Source organism: Homo sapiens, chromosome 20 (genome assembly GCF_000001405.40).
Source record: "Homo sapiens chromosome 20, GRCh38.p14 Primary Assembly".
Taxonomy (NCBI): Eukaryota; Metazoa; Chordata; class Mammalia; order Primates; family Hominidae; genus Homo; species Homo sapiens.
Genome location: NC_000020.11, coordinates 32,850,465 through 32,872,926, shown reverse-complemented (window position 1 = coordinate 32,872,926; position 22,462 = coordinate 32,850,465). Strand labels below are relative to the sequence as shown.

The following is a 22,462-nucleotide window of genomic DNA, read 5'->3' as shown; positions in this document are numbered from 1 at the left end:
AGAGACAGGGTTTCGCCATGTTGGCCAGGCTGGTCTCGAACTCCTGACCACAGGCGATCCGCCCACCTCGGCCTCCCAAAATGCTGGGATTACAGGCATGAGCCACTGCACCCGGCCTTTTGTTTTTGTTTTTGAGATGGAGTCTCGCTCTGTTGCCCAGGCTGGAGTGTGGTGGCATGATCTTGGCTCACTACAACCTCCACCTCCTGGGTTCAAGAAATTCTCCTGGCTCAGCCTCCCAAGTAGCTGGAACTACAGGCACCCACCACCATGCCCAGCTAATTTTTGTATTTTTAGTAGGGACAGGGTTTCACCATGTTGGCCAGGCTGGTCTCGAACCCTTGACCTCTTGATCCACCCACCTCAGCTCGCTGGGATCCCAAAGTGCAGGGATTACAGGCATGAGCCACCGTGCCCAGCTCGCTTTCACTCTTGTCTGTCTGTCTTCTATCTCCCACTCCAGCCTGAGAGCTCTGGGATGGCAGGCATGAGCCTGTTGCCCCAGGGCTGGGTCCTGGCTTCAACAAACATTGGTCCCCTGAGGGTTTCTGTGGGCACTGAGATGTGCCGGTGATGGCACTTCATGCCAGGCATTGTTCTCTGTGCCTTATGCACCCTGACTACCTACATAAGGAAGAAAATGTGGCACAGAGAGGCGTGGTTGCTTGCCCAAGGTCACACAGCTGGTAAGTGGTAGCACCAGATACTAACCCTAGCAATCTGGCTCCAGAACTCATGCTCTTAACCCCATTCTATTCTCCTTATACAACACCCAGCACAATGATACAACAGTAATTATTATTATATTTGTTGCTGGATCAAGGAATAAATGGAAAGCCTGAAGAAATCATGCCTTGCTAAAAGAGGGACCCATCTTGTTTATCTGGAGTTACAGCCAAGGTGCTTAAGCACTTAATGGTCCTTCCAGGTAGAAGATAGATGCCAGGGGGCAGGCCATGAGCCCTGCGGCCTCCTTCCAGACAGAGCTGGGAGTCAAACTGCCTTTGTGTGCTTTCAAAACCTCCTGGGGAGACTGAAAGGCACTCTTTCCTCTTTAAGAACCACTGACTTCCCTCAAAGATCTGGCACAACCTGGACTGAAGCTAGGAAAAGGGAACTTACAGAACAGGAAGAAGGACACTGGCATGTCCCCTCTTCCCTCCAAGGCACGCAGTGACAGTTGGGGTGCCTAAGACACGGTATGGAGCCCGCACTCATAATCCACCTCCTTAAAAGACTTTCAAAAGAGAAAAATGATCCTATTTTCCTTTATCCTACATCAACAAAAGGTGAATTTTCTTTTCTCCCATTTAAAGCCAAAGTTGGTTTTTTAAAATGAGAAAGGGTTTTTAATATTGATATGAAAATATCTGCAAGATACATTCAGTAAAAAGCAAGAGGTAAACTTGTTAAAATTAATTTTTTAAAAAAGCAAGGAATACAGCATAGCAAGACACCATCTCTACAGAAAATAAAAATGAAAAAATTAGCTGGATGTGGTAGCATGCACCTGTAGTCCTAGCTACTCTGGAGGCTGAGTCAGGAGGATTGCTTGAGCCCAGGAGGTCGAGGCTTCAGTGAACTATCATCACACCACTGCACTCCACCCTGGGCTACACAGGAAAACCCTATCTCTAAAAGAAATTTAAAAGAATAAAAATTAAAAAAAATAAAAGCAAAGAATAGAACAGTGTGGACAATAGGCTGCCACTGCATATAAAAAAAGGGAGGAAACTGATGACTGGACACTAAAATTTAAAAGAAGAAGTAGAGAGGGCCGGGCACGGTGGCTCACACCTGAAATCCCAGAACTTTGGGAGGCGAGACAGGTGGATCACCTGAGGTCAGGAGTTCAAGACTAGCCTGACCAACATGGTGAAACCCTGTCTCTACTGAAAATACCAAAATTAGCCAGTGGTGCGTGCCTGTAGTCCCAGCTACTCGGGAGGCTGAGACAGGCGAATCACTTGAACCTGGGAGGCAGAGGTTGCAGTGAGCCGAGATCGCACCACTGCACTCTAGCCTGGGTGACAGAGTGAGACTCCATTTCAGGAAAAAAAAAAAAAAGAAGAAGAAGTAGAAATGACTAAAGATACTTCTGTATTTATTTCCAAAGGTCATAGGAGGCTGGGTGCAGTGGCTAACGCTTGTAATCCCAACACTTTGGGAGGCAGAGGCAGAAGGATTGCTTGAAGCCAGGAGTTTGAGACTAGCCTGGGCAACATAGCAAGACCCCATCTCTACCAAAAAGTTTTTAAAAATTACCCAGGTATTGTGGCACATGCCTCTAATTCTAGCTACTCCAGAGGCTGAGACAGGAGGATCACTTGAGCCCAGGAGTTCAAGGCTGCAGTGAGTTATGATCACACCACTCCACTCCAGCCTGGGCAACCAAGCGAGACCCTGTCCCTAAAAAAATTAAAAATAAAGATCACAGGAAACAGAAAACAGTAATAACTTAAAGGGACATACCTGGGCACATGGGTGGTGGGGGAGAAAAACATTTTCTCTGTATATCAAAAAAGTATCATGAAAAAAGTACCTTTTGGATTTTGAACCGTTTGGATATATTGAACTGTGTGGGTATATTACCTATTCAAAACATACACAAACACAATAAAAACGATGGCCAAGGTCAGTACCAATGGAGTCCTCCCAGACACAGTGGTGGCACTTCCTGGCTGCAAACAATGACATTGAAGACCACCACCCAGGAATCACCCTATCTTCAGACCAGACACAAATTGTCCCTCCTAGGTCTCACTTTACTCGTTCGTAAACTGGAGATTTCTTATCCTTTCCTGCCCACATCACAGTGTGGTTGTAAATCTCAAAAGAAATTCACAGGGCAGGTAAATAGGACCCTAGCATGGTCTAGTGGATATAAAGAAAGATGCCTTTAAGTATTCCTATTATTTGACTTACAGGAGTATTATCTCAGGGGGAAAAATCAAGCTCTAAACAGAGAAAAGGCTTGAGGCACAAAGGATATCTTTACAACATTCAACTCAATAAAACCTAAACGTCTGAAAACAGAGGAATAGCTTAGCCAGTGAAACAACTGCCTCTGTTAGTAATGATGACTTGGAAGATTATGTAGCAATATGGAAAATTCCTTAGGATATTAGCATTAAGTGAAAAGTAGTCTGAAATTACATATATAGTATGATTAAAGACATATGAAAACATACACAGTCATCTGCAGTAGAGAGACTTAAGCAGCCCCCATACTGTGTGCCTCCTGGTGCTCAGTCCCTCCTTCGATCCCCTCCCCTGGAGTGTGGTGGGACCTGTGACTTGCTTCTAACCAACAGAATATGGCACAGGTGACAGGGTGTGCAGGACTATGTGCACATGATTACATGATTTGTTATATAAGATTGCAACACCTGGCCAGGCACAGCAGCTCACGCCTGTAATCCCAGCACTTTGGGAGGCTAAGGCAGGCGGATCACCTGAGGTCGGGAGCTCGAGACCAGCCTGCCCAACATGGAGAAACCCCGTCTCTACTAAAAATACAAAATACAGCCAGGCGTGGTGGCACATACCAGTAATCCCAGCTACTTGGGAGGCTGAGACAGGAGAATCGCTTGAACCAGAGGCGGAGGTTGCAGTGAGCCAAGATCGTGCCATTGCACTCCAGCCTGGGCAACAAGAGTGAAACTCCGTCTCAAAAAAAAAAAAAAATTGCAACACCCATCTTGCTGGAGTTTTTCTCCCTGTTGTTGGCTTGAGCCTTGCAAACAGCTCTGTTGGTGAATCCTGCGTGGCCAGGAACTGTAGGTAGCCTCCCACCAACAGTCAGGAAGAAACAGAAGCCCTCAGTCACACAGGGGCAAGGAACTGAATTCTGCCAACAACCTGAGTGAGCTTGGAAGTGGGTTCTTCCCCAGTCAACCCCAAGATGATTCCACAGCCCCAGCTGACGACTTTTTTTTTTTTGAGATGGAGTCTCACTCTGTGGTCTAGGCTGGAGTAAAGTGGCATGACCTTGGCTCACTGCAACCTCTGCTTCCCAGATTCAAGCGATTCTCTTGCCTCAGCCTCCCAAGTAGCTGGAATTAGAGGCCCGTGCCACCACGCCCAGCTAATTTTTGTATTTTTAGTAGAGACGGGGTTTCACCATGTTGGCCAGGCTGCTCTTGAACTCCTGACCTTAAGTGATCTGCCCGCCTTGGCCTCTCAAACTGTTGGGATTAGAGGTGTGAGCCACCACACCGGTCCCAGCCAACAACTTGATTGCAGCCTTGTGAGAGCCTGAACAGAGAAGCCAGCTAAGCCATGCCCAGACTCCTGCCCCACCAGAACTGTGAGGTGATAAACGTGCATTGGTTTAAGCCACTAAGACTGTGGTATTATCACACAGCAACAGATAATAAACCATACATATGAAACTGGAAGAAAATACATACACCAAAATGCTAACAGTGGTTACATGTGGGTATTTGGACTAGGGGTATTTTTAAAAATTTTCTAGATCCCAAATAGCCTCCAATATGCTTGCAATACCTACATAATGCTTGAAAGTTTTACAGGAGACACTAGATGCAAAGATGCTGATCAGGGTTGGGCACAGTGGCTCACACCTGTAATCCCAGCACTTTGGGAGGCCAAGGCAGAAGGCGCTGCTTGAGCCCAGGAGTTTGAGACCAGCCTGGGCAACATAGCAAGACCTCGTCTCTACAATTATTATTTTTTTAATTAGCCAGGCATGGTGGCATGTGCCTGTAGTTTCAGCTACTCCGGGGGCCAAGGCAGGAGGATCACTTGAGCCCAGTAGTCCCAGACGAGCCTGGACCACATATCACATTGGTGCAAAAGCAATTGTGATTTCTGCCATTACTTTTAATAGCAAAACTGCAATTACTTTTGCACCAACCTAATAGCAAGCCCTTGTTTCTAAAAAAAAAAGAAAAATTTTAATTAGCCAGGAGTGGTGGTATGTGCATGTAGTCCCAGCTACTCTGGGGGCTGAGACAGGAGGATCGCTTGAGCATGGGAGGTTGAGGCTGCCGTGGTGATCACACCACTGCACTCCAGACTGGGTGACAGAGCAATATCCTGTCTCAAAAACAAAAAAAAAATGCTTATTATGTCTGAACCCTCCACACACCCCAGGTACTCGGTCCTGCCCTGTTGCAGAACTCACACAAAAACCGAGCCTACAGAGCGGCCTTACCTCCAGTCGAGTTGATGTCCTCCTCAAACATTTTCTCTATCTTGGCCAGGTGTATCTCAGTAAACAGCTGGGACCCAGGCTGGAGGTCAGGCACCTGGCTAAGGGTGATGGATGGTGTTGGGGAGCTAGCAGCCTCCTTGTTCTGGAAGCCATGTGGGATGGACAGCTGGAACGAATATAACAAGAACCAGGGACTGAGCGTTTCAATTTCCTGAGCCAAACATTTTCAGCACATGATTTAAAGAGAGACTCTTTGAGAAAGAACAAGGTAAGTAGTGTTATGATGTCACTGACAGAAATACAGAATTCTTAACCATTTTTACACCTAAGAAGATAAAGAAAAACCTAGACTCTTCCGACTTTGGAGAGGGAACCATTGTTCCCTTTTTACAGATGCCACAGCTGAGGCTCAGGGAGGATACAGCCAAGTCCTACCTTACTCATAATGGGGTGTTCATTTATAAGGGACCTCAGTTCAGTAACTATATCATTTCAAATCTTCAGTGGTCAGAATTCAGAACCCCAGGGGGCTGGGCATGGTGGCTCATGCCCATAATCCCAGCACTTCGGGAGGCCGAGGAGGGCGGATCATTTGAGGTCAGGAGTTTGAGACCAGCCTGACCAACATGGTAGAAACCCACGTCTACTAAAAATACAAAAACATTAGCTGGGTGTGGTGGCATGTGCCTGTAGTCCCAGCTACTCAGGAGGCTGAGGCAGGAGAATCACTCGAACCCAGGAGGTGGAGGTTGCAGTGAGCTGAGATTGTGCCGCTGCATTCCAGCCTGGGCAACAGAGCAAGACTTCAAAAAAAAAAGAAACGAAAGAAACGAAAGAAAGAAAGAGAGAGAGAGAAAGAAAGGAAGGAAGGAAGGAAAGAAAGAAAGAGAGAGAGAAAGAAAGGAAGGAAGGAAGGAGGGAAGGAAGGAAGGAAGAGAGGGAGGGAGGGAGGGAAGGAAGGAAGGAAGAAAGGGAGGAAGGGAAGAAGGGGGAGGGAGGGAAGGAAGGAAGGAAGGAAGGAAGAAAACCCCAGGGAATCCAGCTCCATTTTCCCTAATTTGACCTGGTCCTGACCAGCCCAGATGTCCCATCTCGGTCAGATGAGCTCACCTGCCCCACCCCTGGCCTCCCTGCCAACACACCAATGCTCATACAGACCCCTCCACTGGGGGTTCTCCCTCACTTCCCCCTTCTACTCATCCTTCCCAAATCCCCCCAGAAGCCTTCCCCACCCCTCCAGGCCTCATGATGCTTCCTCTCCTCACCCCTCCATGAGACTGATACAGATACTTAGCATAATGTGTCAGGTCACCAAAGCTCAGGCCATCAAAGGCTGCCTTCCCTAAAAGACTCTAACGTGGATAATTAGATGACCTGAGTGGCAGGCAGGCAGTCCTGCTCACTGAGACACATTGCTTTGGGCCTTGGGAAGTTGAAAACACTTTAGTTCAAAAAGCCAAAAGACAAGGGATTAAATTGCTCACTCTCCCCCACTTAGCCCCAACTAAAGAGCAAATGTGCTCATCCTCCTGTGACCTTTCATTCATTAGCCCAGCGTCTACACACATTGACTGAGTGCTAGGCACTGTGGATACAGCACTGTGGATACACCGTGAACATAGTGAGGGTCCCTGCCTCCACGGAGCCCAACAGAGGAGCACGTGAAGGCTCTCACTACACACCCAGACTCCAAATTAGAAATCTCAGCACCGCCTTCAGCTCTTCCCTCTTCTTCCTATGCATTCTACCGTCCCTCCAGTTAATTATTCCTGGGATCCATCTCCTACATATAAGCCTCCTCTCCCACACCCCTGCTCGCCCCAAACTGTAGTCTTTTGCTGGGACAAGTACAATGACCACCACTAAGACCAGAGTTTGACCCTCTCTTCCCATCCACCTCCCAACACTGGCACCAGTCATCTTTCTAGGCAGCAAATTTTTTTTTTTTTTTTTGAGACAGAGTCTCACTCTGTCACCCAGCTGGAGCGTGGTGCGATCTCAGCTCACTGCAACCTCTGCCTCCTGGGTTCAAGTGATTCTCGTGAACCAGCTTCCCAAGTAGCTGGGACTACAGGCATGAGTCACCACGCCTGGCTAATTTTTTGTATTTTTAGTAGAGACAGGGTTTCACCATGTTGACCAGGCTGGCCTCGAACTCCTGACCTCAGGTGATCCTCCTGCCTTGGCCTCCCAAAGTGCTGGGATTACAGATATGGGCCACTGCGCCTGGCTTCTAGGCAGCAAATCTGATCAATGACTTTACCCTGCTTCTGACACTCTTCACCCCAACTCCGGAGTGTAGCATTCAAAGTACTTCCTAACCAGCTCTGACCTATCTTTCTAGTTTCAAGCATGCACCATGTTCCAGGCACACCACCTGCTCCCCACCATCCCCAAGCCCAGCAAGCATTCGGTGCTTACTCACGTGTGTCTCCCATACACAGTCCAACCCATCTCCCCTAGAGGTGAACCCCTACCCACTCTTCAGACTCTCGCTCAAATGGAACCTCCCCCAAGGAGCTCTTCCATAACTTTCAGATGACAGTCATCACTGCCACCTCCATATTCCCAGGTCTTTGTTCATATCTGCCCCTCAAGGCATAGTAAGTGTGCTTGTCTGTCCATACATGTGGGCAGCAAGGCATGAGGGGAAGCACACGGCTGCAGAGCCCCAGAGCTCTGGGTTGGAATTCTGTCTGGCTCCCTCACTTACAGGCTATTTTAACTTAGGCATATCACATCACTTCCCTGAGCCACAGGTTTCCTCATCTGCAAAACAGAGAGCCACAGTCCCTACCCTGCAGGGCTGTGGTTGAGACCTAAATGACACCTGAATACATGTGAAGCCCCAGTAAACTGTAATTACACAATAAATGACAGCTCTTGTTATTACTCCTTGTCTCATAGTGAGCTCTTCAAAGACAAAGGCATGTTTAACTTAACTTAATCTAATTTGTATTAATTATCTCTATACTCCCCAGCCCCAAGCACATAACAGACAATTGATACATACCTGGCTTGATAAAAACTCTTACAGCCCATCCCACTATTATCACAACCTGCTGGACAAAATTAAGTAGAGAAGTGGAGTCCACGTACAGACCGTACATCAGGGGGCTCGGGTGTGTTGCATTTGACTCATGTAGCTTTTTTGTTTTGTTTTTTTAGAGACAGGGTCTCGCTCTGTTGCCCAGGATAAGTGCAATGGCGAGATCATGGCTGACTGTAGCCTCGACATCCCAGGCTCAAGCAATCCCCCCACCTCAGCCTCTGGAGTAGCGGGGACCACAGGCATGTGCCACCATGCCTAATTTATTTTTTACTTTTTGTAGAGATGGGGTTTCACTATGTTGCCCAGGCAGGTCTCAAACTCCTGGGCTCAGCGATCCTCCTGCCTTCACCTCACAAAGTGCTGGGACTACAGGTGTGAGCCACCATACCCAGTCTCAGGCAGCCCTTTAAAAGTACACTTAGGTCAGGTGTGGTGGCTCACGCCTGTAGTCCCAGCACTTTGGGAGGCTGAGGCGGGCAGATCATGAGGTCAGGAGTTTGAGACCAGCCTGGCCAACATGGTAAAACCCCATCTCTACTAAAAATATAAAAATTAGCTGGGCATGGTGGCACATGCCTGTAATCCTAGCTACTCAGGAGGCTGAGGCAAGAGAATTGCTTGAACCCAGGAGGCAGAGGTTTCAGTGAGCCAAGATGATGCCACTGCACTCCAGCCTGGGCGACAGAGCGAGACTCTGTCTCAAAAAAAAAAAATACACTTAAGTTACCTGCCCAGTAAATATCTGAGTATGCAACCCCCTCCCCGATGCAGAAACACCTATACTTCCATGCTGGTAAGTGAGGTTTTGGGTGACTCTGGAATGCCCCACCCTTTATTAGTTCAGATAATTGTCTTTCTTACCTTTTGGAGTTGAGGGATCTCTGCTAAGTCTTCAGAAGACATTAGCCTTGACCTAGAATAGGGAATCATAGTCAACTTAACTCCAGTCGTTGTAAGGACCACGTGGAAGGCTGACTTAGCCAGGTCACAGAAAGGTGGAAAAGAAGTCAAGGTCAAGGGAGAGGGTGGCTTCCCCTTGCCCATGGACACTCCCAGCGAGCAGTGGATGAGCATTCCTTTTCCCAGAGATTTCTCCAGCAAAAAGCTTTTGCCAAGCTTGCACTTGAGCCTTTCTTCCCCTGATAGAGAGGAGTTGTCCTGCAGAAGCCATGGGGTTTCACAAGTTTCTTTACTCCTGACTTAATGCCAGAGGCTTCCTAAAGGGGATCACACTTTCTACAGAAGTAGAAGAATCTTAGGAGGCCATGTGGTAGTCCAAGTACAATAAACAGATTAGAAAAATGAGGGCTCCTCATTTCCACTGCATATACCCTCCCCACCCACCTTCCAGTGCCCTTGCAAGCCAGGACTTCGGGAGAGCAGACAGAACAGAGCTCTGCTCTGGGAATATAAAGAGAACGTTTCTATTGGGTCAGCAAGGCCTCCATATGAGATGGATGACAGCGTTTTGTTAGGGTCTTTGGAGCACCAATCCACCTCGTCAGCAAGTCCCACCAGGCAAGAGTCCAGAGGGCACTCTAGGATGGCAGGGGGACAGCCAAGAAATAGTTAAGCCCAAGACACGCACAGGGGGCAGACCAACTGAGCCAGCTTGGCTTGATCTGAAGGGTCCTGGAGGCAGAGGGGAGGGAGGAATCATGGCAGAGAAGGAAAAAAAAAAAAATTGGCAGCAAAAAGTAGAATCTTGAATACCTGGCCAGACAGTCTGAACAAAATGAAGGGCAACTATGAAAGTCATCAGTGGCCAGGTGCAGTGGCTCATACCTGTAATCCCAGCACTTTGGGAGGCCAAGGCGGAAGGATTGCCTGAGGTCAACAGTTCAAATGAGACCAGCCTGGCCAACATATTGAAACCCTGTCTCTACTAAAAATATAAAAAATTAGCCGGGTTTGGTGGCAGGTTCCTGTAATCCCAGCTACTTGGGAGGCTGAGGCAGGAGGATTGCTTGAACCTGGGAGGCAGAGGTTGCCATGAGCCGAGATCGAGCCATTGTACTCTAGCCTGGGCAACAAGAGCAAGACTCTGTCCCAAAAAAATAAAAAATAAAATTCATCAGTACAAGCTGGAGGGAGAAGACTGAACGGTACCCAAGAATGCTCTAATCTAGCAGTGTCTTGGCAACAGCTCACACCTAAGGACCAAAGGAGAGAGGACAGCCTAAGGGAAGGAGATTTGGAAGCCAAGAAGCAAGCTAACAGAAATGCCAGAACCACTTTCAGAAAAAGGAGCAAAGAGGGAAAGTGGTTTTAATGCATGTGATACTAGGCTGTCCAATTAGGAATAAAAAATAGGCCGAGGCGGGAGGATCGCTTGCATCCAGGAGTTTGAGACCAGCCTGGGCAACATTGAGACCCCACATCTACAAAAAATCCAAAATTAGCCAGGTGTGGTGGCACATGCCTATACACCCAGCTACTCAGGAGGCTGAGGTGGGAGAATTACTTGAGCCCAGGAGGTTGAGGCTGCAGAGAGCTGAGATCATACCACTACACTCCAGCCTGGATGACAGAGTGAGACCCTGTCTCAAAAAAAAAAAAAAGAAAAGAAATAATAAAAACAAGTATCTGGAAATCTGGGGACTGAAACTTGAGGAGTGGCTACATTTAGAGGACAGAAAGAGGGAGAAACACACAAGACAGCTAGGAGAATGGGACGCTACAAAGTGACCTAAGGTGATAAGGGAAAGAAACAGCCACTGAAAAAGGCAATTAAGAGGTTACCAGTGAAAAAACTAAAGTGTATGTAAAATGTTAAGTTCATTTCTGTTAAGAATATATGCATGTGCATATTGGCACATGCATAAAAAAGAGCCTGGAAACATATACTCCAAAATTAATAGCAGTCATCTCTGGTAGGTGAGATTATGGAAGATGTTTATAGCCTAAATCATGCAATTCTCTGATTTTTATTTTAATTAAAAAAGGGTTCATGGCGATCTTTTGAGATGGGGTCTTGCAATGTTGCCCAGGCTGGTTTTGCACTCCTGGGCTCAGGTGATCCTCCCATCTCAGCCTCCCAAGTAGCTGGGACAACAGGCACATGCCACCACACCAGGCTCATGGCAATCTTTAACATGTGTTTCAACGGCTAGGCGCGGTGGCTCACATCTGTACTTCTAGCACTTTGGGAGGCCGAGGCAGACGGATCACCTGATGTCAGGAGTTCAAGACCAGCCTGGCCAGCATGGAGAAATCCCATCTCCACTAAAAATACAAACGTTAGCTGGGTGTGGTGGTGGATGCCTGTAATCCCAGCTACTCAGGAGGCTGAGGCAGGAGAACTGCTTGAATCCAGGAGGCGGAGGTTGCGGTGAGCCGAGATTGTGCCATTGCACTCCAGCCTGGGCAACAAGAACGCAACTCCGTCTCAAAAAAATAAAATAAAATGTGTTTCAGTGGAGTGGGTAGGATGGTGGGTAGTAATTTAAATGACTCCTTTGTGAAAGGCCACTGTTGAAGAGTGATTGCTGCAGCATCATTCATAGGAGCAAAAACCAAAAGTGAACCATTATAGACACAGAAATGAACAAATCAGTGCATCTGCACCTAGGACGTCACCCAAACATCAGAAGGATGAATCTGACTTCCAGCAGCTAAGAGAGATTTCCATGAAGTACTAATAAGAAAAGCACGATGCAGGCCAGGCACAGTGGCTCATACCTGTAATGCCAACACTTGAGGCCAAGGTGGGAAGATCGCTTGAGCCCAGGAATTTGAGACCAGCCTGGGCAACATGGTGAAACCCCATCTGTACAAAACATACAAAAAATTATCTGGGTATGGTGACACTCCCCTGTAGTCCCAGCTACTCAAGAGGGTGAGATGGGAGGATTACCTGCATCCAGAAGTTTGAGGCCGTAGTGAACTGTAATCACAACACTGCACTCCAGGGCCTGGGTGAGAGAATGAGACCTTGTCTCAAAAAAATAAATAAATAAAAAAACCAAGATGCAGAAAAGGGTGCACACTATGATGCCAATTTTTATAAAAGAATGAAAAAATAGCCTGGGCACAATGGCTGACGTCTGTAATCCCAGCTACTCGGGAGACTGAGGCACGAGAATCGCTTGAACCCAGGAGGTGGAGGTTGCAGTGAACTAAGACTGTGCCATTGCACTCCAGCCTAGGCAAAAGAGTAAGACTCCATCTCAAAAAAAAAAAAAAAAAAAAAAAAAAAAAAAGTTACCACCATCAGCGATGGAACAAAATGACATCCATCACACACCTCCTGATCCGATACATGCAGGGCACAATGCTTCAGTAGTATTATTGCCAAAAAAATACATGATCTGAATCTAATCATAAGGAAACAGACAAACCCACATTACAGGATATTCTACAAAATAACTGGGTTTTTTTTTGCTTTTATTTTTGAGAGTCTCACTCTGTCACAGGCTGGAATGCAGTGGCTCAATCTCAGCTCACCGCAACCTCCACCTCCCAGATTCTGATGATTCTCATGCCTCAGCCTCCTCAGTAGCTGGGATTATAGGTGCACGCCACCATGCCCAGCTAACTTTCGTATTTTTAGTAGAAACAGGATTTCTCCATGTTGGCCAGGCTGGTCTCAAACTCCTTGGCCTCAAGTGCTTTCCGCCCGCCTTGGCTTCCCAAAGTGCTGGGATTACAGGCGTGAGTCACCGCGCCTGGCCAAAATAAAATGCCATGTAAACCAAAGAAAGGCTAAGGAACTGTTAGAGATGAAAGGTGACTCAAGAGACCCAACAACTAAAGGCAATGCACGATTCTGAATTGAATCCGATTGGGAAAAAACAAAAATGCTGCAAGGGCTGTTATTTGGTGAAATTATGTAAAATTTGAACATGGACTCTATATTATTAGATAGCATATTAATGTTTTCTGCTTTTGATAACTGTATTGTGGTTATGAGAATGTCCTTGTTTCAGGAAATGTACACTGAAAAGTATTTAGGGGTAAAAGGGCATGATGTCTGTAATTCTCAAATGGTTTAACAAGTAACATGTATAATAACACAAATGTGGCAAAATGTTCACAATTAGTCTATCTGGACAAAGGGAAGTTCTTTGTAGTAGTCTTACAACTATTTATATATTTTTAATTATTTCAAAACTAAATATTTTGTAAGATAAATGTCTTTCACCAGGAGAAAGTGGTTCTATGTATGTTCATGAACAGAGGTAAAACGCCAAATGGGAAAAAAAGTGCTGGTTGCTGCCAACAGAGACCACCCAAAAGAAAAGGGCAAAAGCAAGAGGGGAGAGGCCAAGACAAGTACCATTCCTCCAACTCTGAAGGGAAGGAAGGGAAGGCTGAGATGTAAAACTCGGTTGATATTTAGAATTGGAGAACAGGTCAGATCAGAAGTCACATCCATCTGCCTCAATCTATTCCCTAAAGTTGACCTGTCCGGAGCTGACGGAAGAGGGGCAGGGCAAGGCAGGTGGGAGAGTACCATCCAGAACAGGGGTGAGAATTCAGAGCAGCCACTAGGGGAACATGCTAGGGATGAGAGGGGAACGAGTGGTTTGTACGAATTTGTAGAGGCAGATGACTTAAGGATACATGCATTGAAAGCCAGCCAGGACACAGATAAGAGCTGCTCTCCAGCCTTGGAGGTCAGGCAGAGGTCTTCAGCAGAGGTATCCAATCTTTTGGAGAGCAACTTTCACCTAAAACCCTCACTCACCCTGACTCAATTTGATCTCCTCAGTTAATCTTGCTGGCAAAGTCTGGCAAAGTGCTAACACTTTCCAACTCCCATCTCAACAAAGACATTGGCAGCTGTTCCCAGTCCAAGACAGCTCCTTTATGAAGTCGAGATGGAACTCTGGGTCTGCTGGTCATATTTAGAACTAGGGAAATGAGACAGAATTCCGTATGAAGAACATAAATGAAGCATCAGAACCCGTCCCACAAACCATAATCACAGAACCATTTTTCATCCAATTTGAAACATTTCTTTTATTGAAGAAGTTGAACTTACAGCAGACAGTGAAAGGAGTTACAGCACTCCAGGACAAACACAGACATAAAATAATACATAAAACAAGTAGCGGGAAACTGGAAGATGCCAGGGAGTCCTCTTATAAAAGCAGGGTTCACCAAAACCAGAAGGCCAACTGGCTCCAGGACAGCGAAAGGCACAGTGGCTCCTCTGCTCCTCTGCCTTCTGCCCCATTTGAAATGGGGGACTTACAAATCCAGACTTCAGGGCAGGCCTAGACTTGATGCAGCCACTGCAATCTTGGTCCATGGTGCAATTTGGCAGACAAGTTGGTGAAAGGTAAGTTGTCTCCAGAGATTTCAATCAGGGACGTGGCTTCCAGATGTTAAAAGATACCCAGCTAAGTCACAAGGAAGTGGATGTTTTCAAATGCTAAGTGACCACCAAACAAAACATTCTCCCTGGGCCTTCACCACTCAGAGAACACCAACATACAAAAACAAAAGTCTGTTCCCATTTCATCAATAATGGAGTTTTAAGGATTTTGTCATAGTGTAGAATATTAAGAATGGATGAATAAAAAGTCAAAAAAGGTGCAGAGGTCCTATAAATCAGGGTTTATTAGACTAGATATTAATAAATTGGAAGGGTTTAAAAAAAAAAAGGCTGTTGGCCCTACATATGACAGTTTCCCATTGTTTCTTAGCTTAGTATATTTATTTTCCAACACAATGTTAGCAATTCTTACAGCAGTTCTTGCATTTTTCCAATAACATTTTTATTAATCAAATGGTATATATTTTTCACTATAACCTATTTTCACTGATTAATACATTTATCAGTATTTTAATGTGGCCTAAAATATGCTAAATTCTGTCACAATAAATATGTTTTTCCCTCCCTGGGGAGAAACACAAGTAAAAAAAGGAAAATATTAAGATGCATTCCACTTTTTAGTTAAGGAAAAGTTCAGAAAACTCCCATCTTTTTAAAAAAGAATGAAAATATGATCCTAAGTAACTCAGGTTAGAAAAACAGTAACAGAGCCAGGCGCAATGGCTCACGCCTATAATCCCAGCACTTTGGGAAGCTGAGGCAGGAGGATCACTTGAGCCCAGGAGTCTGAGATCAGCCCAGGCAACATAGTGAGACCATGTCTCTATTAAAAAAAAAAAAAAATTAAAGAGAGAAAAAAACAGTAATAATAAAACAAGTGGGGAGGAGGACATTTAGAAGAAAAATCTAGATAAACCTCTGCACAAAAATAATTTTGGAAAAAAGTTAGAAGTCCTACCTGAGATTAATTCAGGCGTCACTGGCTAATGCTAAGGGAATTCTGATTGGAAGGCAGCAACTCAGGGGCCCAAGGACCACATTAACAGATGCAATTACCTGCCCTAGAGAAGGCGCTTCCTCACACTCCCACTTAGCTGCAATGCCAATACTGTCCTTTCAAGCTTCAACCCTGTGATTTTAAGATATCAAAACTTGTATCCTTCTTCAGCTCTATGTAATTTGTCAAAAATTTCAAGATGCAACTCTATAGCCAAAAAGAGAGCCTTTTACTTTTTCAAACAAAAATAAACAAGAGAAGTCACTGACTGCTAAAACTAGAAGGGACCCTCAAGATTGGTATCACAGGATCACACCTTCATCTGGCAGTAGGTTGAGGTCAGTAACTCAGCTCACATGACATTTAAAACCACACAACACTACCAGAGAGAGCTACAGGTTCAGATGCCAATGGTTTCAAAAAACCATGATTCAGGCCGGGTGCAGTGGTTCACGCCTGTAAACCCAGCACTTTGGGAGGCCGAGGCAGGTGGATCACAAGGTCAGGAGTTTGAGACCAGCCTGGCCAACATGGTGAAATCCTGTTTCTACTAAAAACACAAAAATTAGCCAGGCACGGTGGTGCGTGCCTGTAATCTCAGCTACTCGGGAGGCTGAGGCAGGACAATCGCTTGAATCTGGGAGGCGGAGGTTGCAATTAGCCAAGATCGCACCACAGCACTCCAGCCCGGGCGACAACAGCAACACTCCGTCTTGAAAAAAAAAAAAACAAAAAAACCACGATTCAAGAAAAAGGCAGATTCTCCTGTGTTCAGCAGCTACTTTAAAAAAAAAAAAAAAAAAAAAGGCACTTCTTGGCCAGGAGTGGTGGAGGACTGCTTGAGCCCAGGAGTTTGAGACCAGCCTGGGGAACATAGCCAGACCCTGTCTCTACAAAAATAAAATTAGCTGAGCAGTTCCAGCTCCTTGGGAGGCTGAGGTGGGAGAATCACTTGAGCCCGGGAAGTCAAGGCTGCAGTGAGCCGTGACCATGCCACTGCACTCCAGCCTGGGTGACAGAGCGAGACCCTGCCTGGAAAAAAAACAACAACAACAACAAAAAAGCACTTCCTAATGATTGGGGAAAATATTAAATATTAGGTCAGAGAGTTAAACACTCTTAGAAATTTTTAAGAATACATTTATTTCACTCAACACTGAATCTTAAAATTATTACTTCTTCAGACCAGGCACGGTGGCTCAGGCCTGTAATCCCAGCACTTTGGGAGGCGGAGGAGGGCGGATCACTTGAGCTTAGGAGTTGCAGACCAACCTGCACAGCATAGTCAAACCCCATCCCTACCAAAAAAAAAAAAAAAAAAGAAAATTATTACTTCCTCTCTCAGGCTTCAAAATTAAGGAGGAGGGAGGGACAAATTGGGATATCCCATAGCTGCCTGCAAAAAACACAATAGCTTATTCCATTCTCCCAAGCAGGATTTAAAATTTCAAAGTGAAAACAGCAGTCATATGTAATTATACATGCTTAACTCTCTCACATTTTGTAGAAAAACATACAAAATACAAAAAAAAAAAAAAAGACTGTATCAAGTTAGAAAACTTAAATAGAACACCAAAATCCAGATGACCTTGAAGTTTTGCTGGATCTTAAAATCACTAGAACTACTTCAAAATATATAAATAGGCCCCATTATGAAAAATATAAATATGAACATGATAAATAAGCAAGAGAGGAAAGGAAACTGGTCACTCAGATAAACCATGACAGGTCCTGGGTAAAATACATTTAGACGATTCGGGGATGGAGGTACTAGAATTAGCAAGGCCCTCCCTGCAGCTTGCAACCTGTGGGGAAAAAGCCAAACAGGTGGTAGGCCACGTGTATTATTGCTCCTGCCAAAGCCTCCTCTTTCAGAATCAAAAACCACAAGTAGTTGAGACACTGTGCTTTTCTATCAAAATCGCCCTTCACTGGTGAAAATTAGCCTCCACTGGCAATGTTCGCTGGGAACTGTACACTCTCCCACTCTTTCTTGTTCCGGTATCCTACTGACTTTTACAGACCTCGGTAACTTTTTCTGAACCAGGACTCAACTCCTCACTGAGCCAATGAAAAGCCATGCTCTGCAGACTTCAGATGCAGGGCCTAGCAGAGGACTCTGGTCTTAACTCCTGGTCCGTGGCATTCCACTTACAGCACCGTCTTCCTCATTTATTTCAGTAAAGGTCAGAGGTGGGTGCCAGCCACACACCCATTTCATATGTTCAGTTTTACCCACTTGTGTGCTTGACCTTGGACTTAACTTCAATACTCTGCATTGCAATTTGTGAATCATCCATTAAGGCTAAATCTTAAAAACTAATCTTTGTCTCCACTGGAGACACAGTAACTAGTAACTAAACCACAAATCCAGCTTTTTAAGATTTACCCTGACAGATTGACTCTCACCCAACAAAAGCTTCCGACATCCCACTCTACTGCTAAAACAGAAAGTAAATGAAAGGCTCAGTAGATGGAATAAATTACTCTTCCTCCTCTGCCTCATACCTACACCCAGCCGCACCAACAATCTCCTCCGACTACAAAAAAACACTCAAAGTAAACCAGGAAAAAACTAAGGTAGAAATTTTTAAAAAGCAAATAAGGCAAGACAAATAGAATTCCAAACTGCATATATATATATAAGATATATATGATCATATATATATATATTATATATATGATCATATATATCTTATATATATTATATATGATCATATATATATATAAAATCTTTTAAATAGAGACAGGGTCTCTTGCTATGTTGCCCAGGCTAGTTTCAAACTCCTGGGCTCAAGCAATCCTTCTGCACTGGCCTCCCAAAGTGCTGGGATTACAGGCATGAGCCATGACACCCAGCCCCAAACTGCTGATAGGTTATTTTACAATTATAAATTTATATCTTGATGCCACTTACAAAGTTCTAGGCATTGGTGGGTAACCTGGTTTGCTTTCAAATGGTCACAGGACAAAGAACTGCCTCCTCACACTCAGAAACGTGTCTATGAAGGCTATTTCCATTTCACATTTCAGAACCTGAGAGCCTCCAATACAAGGAAACGAGAGTTATTTACAATTTTGATACACACACGCACCTCAAGATTTAAGGTTCTAGATTGAGGAGCCTAGAAATTTGACTCTAAGGCTTGACCTGCTCACCTAGATAACCAAATTAATGAAGCTACTGGATACAACCTCAATAGAGTACAGAGAAAGCTTCTGCACTCCAAGGACTAAGGTAACATTACTTCCCAAATCAGATTAAACCAAAGGGGGAACAGACCTTCACAAGTCACGGCTATATAGCAATTTGGGCCAGGCACAGTGACTCACACCTCCCAGCATTTGGGGAGGAAGAGATGGGTAAATTGTTTGAGCCCAGGGGTTCAAGACCAGCCTGCAATATAGCAAACCCCGTCTCTACAAAAAATACCAAAAAATTGGCCGGGCATGGTGGCTCACGCCTGTAATCCCAGCACTTTGGGAGGCCGAGGCAGGTGGATCACCTGAGGTCAGGAGTTCCAGACCAGCCTGGCTAACATGGCAAAACCCCGTCTCTACTAAAAACACAAAAATTAGCTGGGTGTGGTGGTGGGCGCCTGTAATCCCAGCTACTCTCGAGGTTGAGGCAGGAGACTCGCTTGAACCCAGGAGGCGGAGGTTGCAGTGAGCCAAGATGGCACCACTGTACTCCAACCTGGGCAACAAGAATGAAACTCTGTCTCAAAAAAAAAAAAAAAAAAAAAATTAGCCAGCCAGGCATGGTGGTGTGCACTACAGTCCCAGCTACTATGGAGGTTGAGGTGGGAGGACAGCTGAAGCCCAGGAAGTTGAGGCTGTCATGAGCCATGACTGTGCCACTGCACTCCAGCCTGGGTGACAGGAGACCCTGTCTCAAAAAAACAAAAACAAAAACAATACATAATTTGGCTGAAGTCATCTAGGTTAATGGTTCTAACTGCAGTCAAGTTCAATGTAAAAGTACACAATCCCTTCAGGCTTTCAGAGAAAACCCTGAACACTCAGTTATACCCTCGCATGTGAAAATGAAGAGAAAAAAAGCAGCAAGCGTCATGAAGATACAGAAATAAATATGAACTCATCTGGTTTTGACATTTTACAAACTAAATGTGTGAATCCAAAAGTATGATATCAAGCAGGGAGTGGTGGCTCACACCTGTAATCCCAGCACTTTGGGAGGCCAAGACAGGTGGATCACTTGAGGCCAGGAGTTCGAGACTACCTTGGGCAACATGGCAAAACTCCATCTCTACTGAAAATACAAAAATTAGCCAGGCATAGTGGCACAGGCCTGTAATCCCAGCTACTCAGGAGGCTGAGGTACGGGAACTGCTTCAGCCTGGGAGGTGGAGGTTGCAGTGAGCCAAGATCGTGCCACTGCACTCCAGCCTGGGTGACAGAGCAAGACTGTCTGGGGAAAAAAAAAAAAAAAAAAAAAAGACATATTACAACAGTGCCAGACCAGAAAAATGACGGGTGGTTCACAACACTGATCACAGACTGAGGTTCAGCTTGTTTCAAAGCAATGTTCTCTGTTGTCAACAATCAGATTTGGGTCACCCACATGCTAGCAAGCTAATCTGACTAGGCTGATCAGGCCTAAAGCTTGGATTTTTATTTGTGGACTTTGCAATGAACTATGGTCAACATCACAAAAGGAGTCCTTTATACTCAATCTTCTAAAACAATCCTTAAAAGAAAAACTACAGAGGATCACCTTGGCTAGGGCAAAAGAAAAATGCTTCCTTTTCAAAACCCTTCACATTCTAGAGAGTAAATCTTGAAGAAAATATGGGTTTTTAATCAATGAATCTGAGACATTGAATCTTCATTTAAAAGAAAACAAAAACAGGATAAACATAAGAGCCTGAAGACATAAGGGAGTTCTACTTGTCCATATACCATGCTGAAAAGGAAATACTTTGGGTGTATTTTACAAAACACCCAAAGCCTGTCTGAAGGAATGCCCTTCCGAATTCTGAGGATACAAAAGCCCTGTCCTAAGCTTTTTCTAATCTATAAACAGAATTTCAGACCAGATCTGAAGAACTTGTGCCATAAATAATGCCTCTTGTCTGTACAGAGCTTTTTAGCTTTGTGGTGCTGTTTTTTTTTGGTCCATCAGCTCCTTCTAATCCCAACAAGTACCCAGTGAGGGAGGCACGTCAGCCAAAATCATCATCTCTGTCTTGCATGTAAGAACAAGAGAGGTCAAATAGCTCAAAACTCACAAAGCAGGAGAGACCTGCAAGAGGACTCAAGTCTGATGTTCCCCTTGCCAGAATTATTATTTAAAATTGCAGACATGTAGATAAGGCCCAAATTAAAATGCAGGTTTTCAACCTCCAAACTCAGAATCTCTGGTGATGAATTTTTATAAATACATTATGTCAAACAAGTTCCCCATGTGATTCTGAAGCCCATCAGTTTGAGAATCATCAGCATGAACAATGATCCAAATTGAGCCAGAGAACCCATTTGTTTACCTATCCTTCATGAAACACAGAACCTGCCAAGCAAACCAAGCAGCAAAGACTGTATGTGCTTCAAATTCAAGAGCCAGGTCAATGCACTTGGTCAGATACCCACAGTTTTGGCTTCTCTCTTTACCAAGGTAACTTCTCAATTGACAGTAGCCAACAGTATCTTCACAAACTCCTTGCACTCCTGGAAGGTATCTTCTTGTAGATGACCAATACATATGGTGTCAAATTCCTTCTGAAGGTATTTAACACTTTAAGGGAGGTATCATACCATTAACTATGGGTGCAACCCTTGTCAAGATCATCAGGTTGGGTTTATAGAGCATCCATAACCATGACTCTACATATCCTACAACACACTATCTCTGCCCATTTAACTTTATTTCTGACAGAAAATGGCAGCAAGTCTCCTTTTGAACTCATTTCTAATAGCATATAATTTTATAAGGGAGAAAAAAATGGTGACAATTTTAGATTATTTTATAGATTAAGATCATGTTAACTGACTTTGAAACATACTTTCAGGGCTGGGTGCAGTGGCTCACACCTGTAATCCCAGCACTTTAGGAGGTCAAGGTGGGAGGATCACTTGAGCCCAGGAGTTCAAGACAAGCCTGGGCAACATAAGGGGACCCCATCTCTACAAAAAATACAAAGTTTAGCTGGGCATGGTGGTGCATGCCTGTAGTCCCCACTACTCACGAGGCTGAGGTGGGAGGATCGCTTGAACCCAAGAGGGCAAGGCTGCAGTGAGCCAAGATCATGCCACTGCACTCCAGACTGGGCAACAGAGGGAGACCCTGTCTCAAAAAAGAAAGGAAGAAAGAATCACACCTTCAGAAAAAAAAAAAAAAAAAATCTCCCCACAGTCATCTGCCAAGCACTGTCCTGCTATATTTCTCAGAAGGAAATGCCCTGAAAAGGCTTCACAGCAGATAGGCCAGGCCTTGGACTTCCGAGAGGAAAAACCTCTTACAGCAACGAGAATTTTAAAAAGCAGGAGGCTGTACAATATAATGTGAATGAAGAAAAAAGAAGTCAGCTTAGAAATAAGCACATCTGACCGAGCACGGTGGCTTACGCCTGTAATCCCAGCACTTTGGGAGGCTGAGGTGGGTGGACCACGAGGTCAGGAGTTCAAGATCAGCCTGGCCAAGATGGTGAAACCCCATCTCTACTAAAAATACACAAAAATTAGCCGGGCGTGGTGGTGGGTGCCTATAATCCCAGCTACTTGGGAGGCTGAGGCAGAGAACTGTTTGAACCTGGGAGGCAGAGGTTGCAGTGAGCCGAGATCATGCCACTGCACTCCAGCCTGGGCGACAGACCAAGACTCCATCTCAAAAAAAAAAAAAAAAAAAAGAAGAAGAAGAAGAAATAAGCACATCTGAAAAATCAGTAAAGGATGTGAAAAGATCAGTCCTCACTGAAGAAAGAAGCACTGGTT

The 22,462-nt window shown here is 45.0% G+C and overlaps 1 protein-coding gene and 1 long non-coding RNA gene across 7 annotated transcripts in view, besides 1 other annotated feature; both read right to left on the bottom strand.

Annotated features, from left to right (window-relative positions):
• EFCAB8 (EF-hand calcium binding domain 8) overlaps positions 1-14,004 on the bottom strand; it is a 102,923-nt gene extending 88,919 nt beyond the window's left edge. For all 6 annotated transcript variants that reach the window (NM_001143967.2, XM_024451883.2, XM_024451882.2 and 3 more), the window contains exons 1-3: positions 13,921-14,004; positions 9,093-9,144; positions 5,180-5,345 (exon numbers count right to left, since the gene is read on the bottom strand). In NM_001143967.2, the coding sequence (NP_001137439.1) occupies positions 5,180-5,345; positions 9,093-9,134 (208 nt within the window). In that variant the 5' untranslated portion in view covers positions 9,135-9,144; positions 13,921-14,004. The remainder of the gene's footprint in view (positions 1-5,179; positions 5,346-9,092; positions 9,145-13,920) is intronic.
• Positions 13,325-14,137: an enhancer, noted in NCBI's record as "NANOG-H3K27ac-H3K4me1 hESC enhancer chr20:31446596-31447408 (GRCh37/hg19 assembly coordinates)". NCBI's record gives its function as "activates a minimal SCP1, AML or CMV promoter by ChIP-STARR-seq in naive H9 embryonic stem cells {active_cell/tissue: H9 hESC(naive)}" and the evidence as "EXISTENCE:reporter gene assay evidence [ECO:0000049][PMID:30033119]".
• On the bottom strand, positions 14,176-16,295 carry LOC119746555 (uncharacterized). Its single transcript, NR_171378.1, has one exon. It is a non-coding gene; the product is annotated as an uncharacterized LOC119746555 (long non-coding RNA).
• Positions 16,296-22,462: the final 6,167 nt, after the last annotated feature.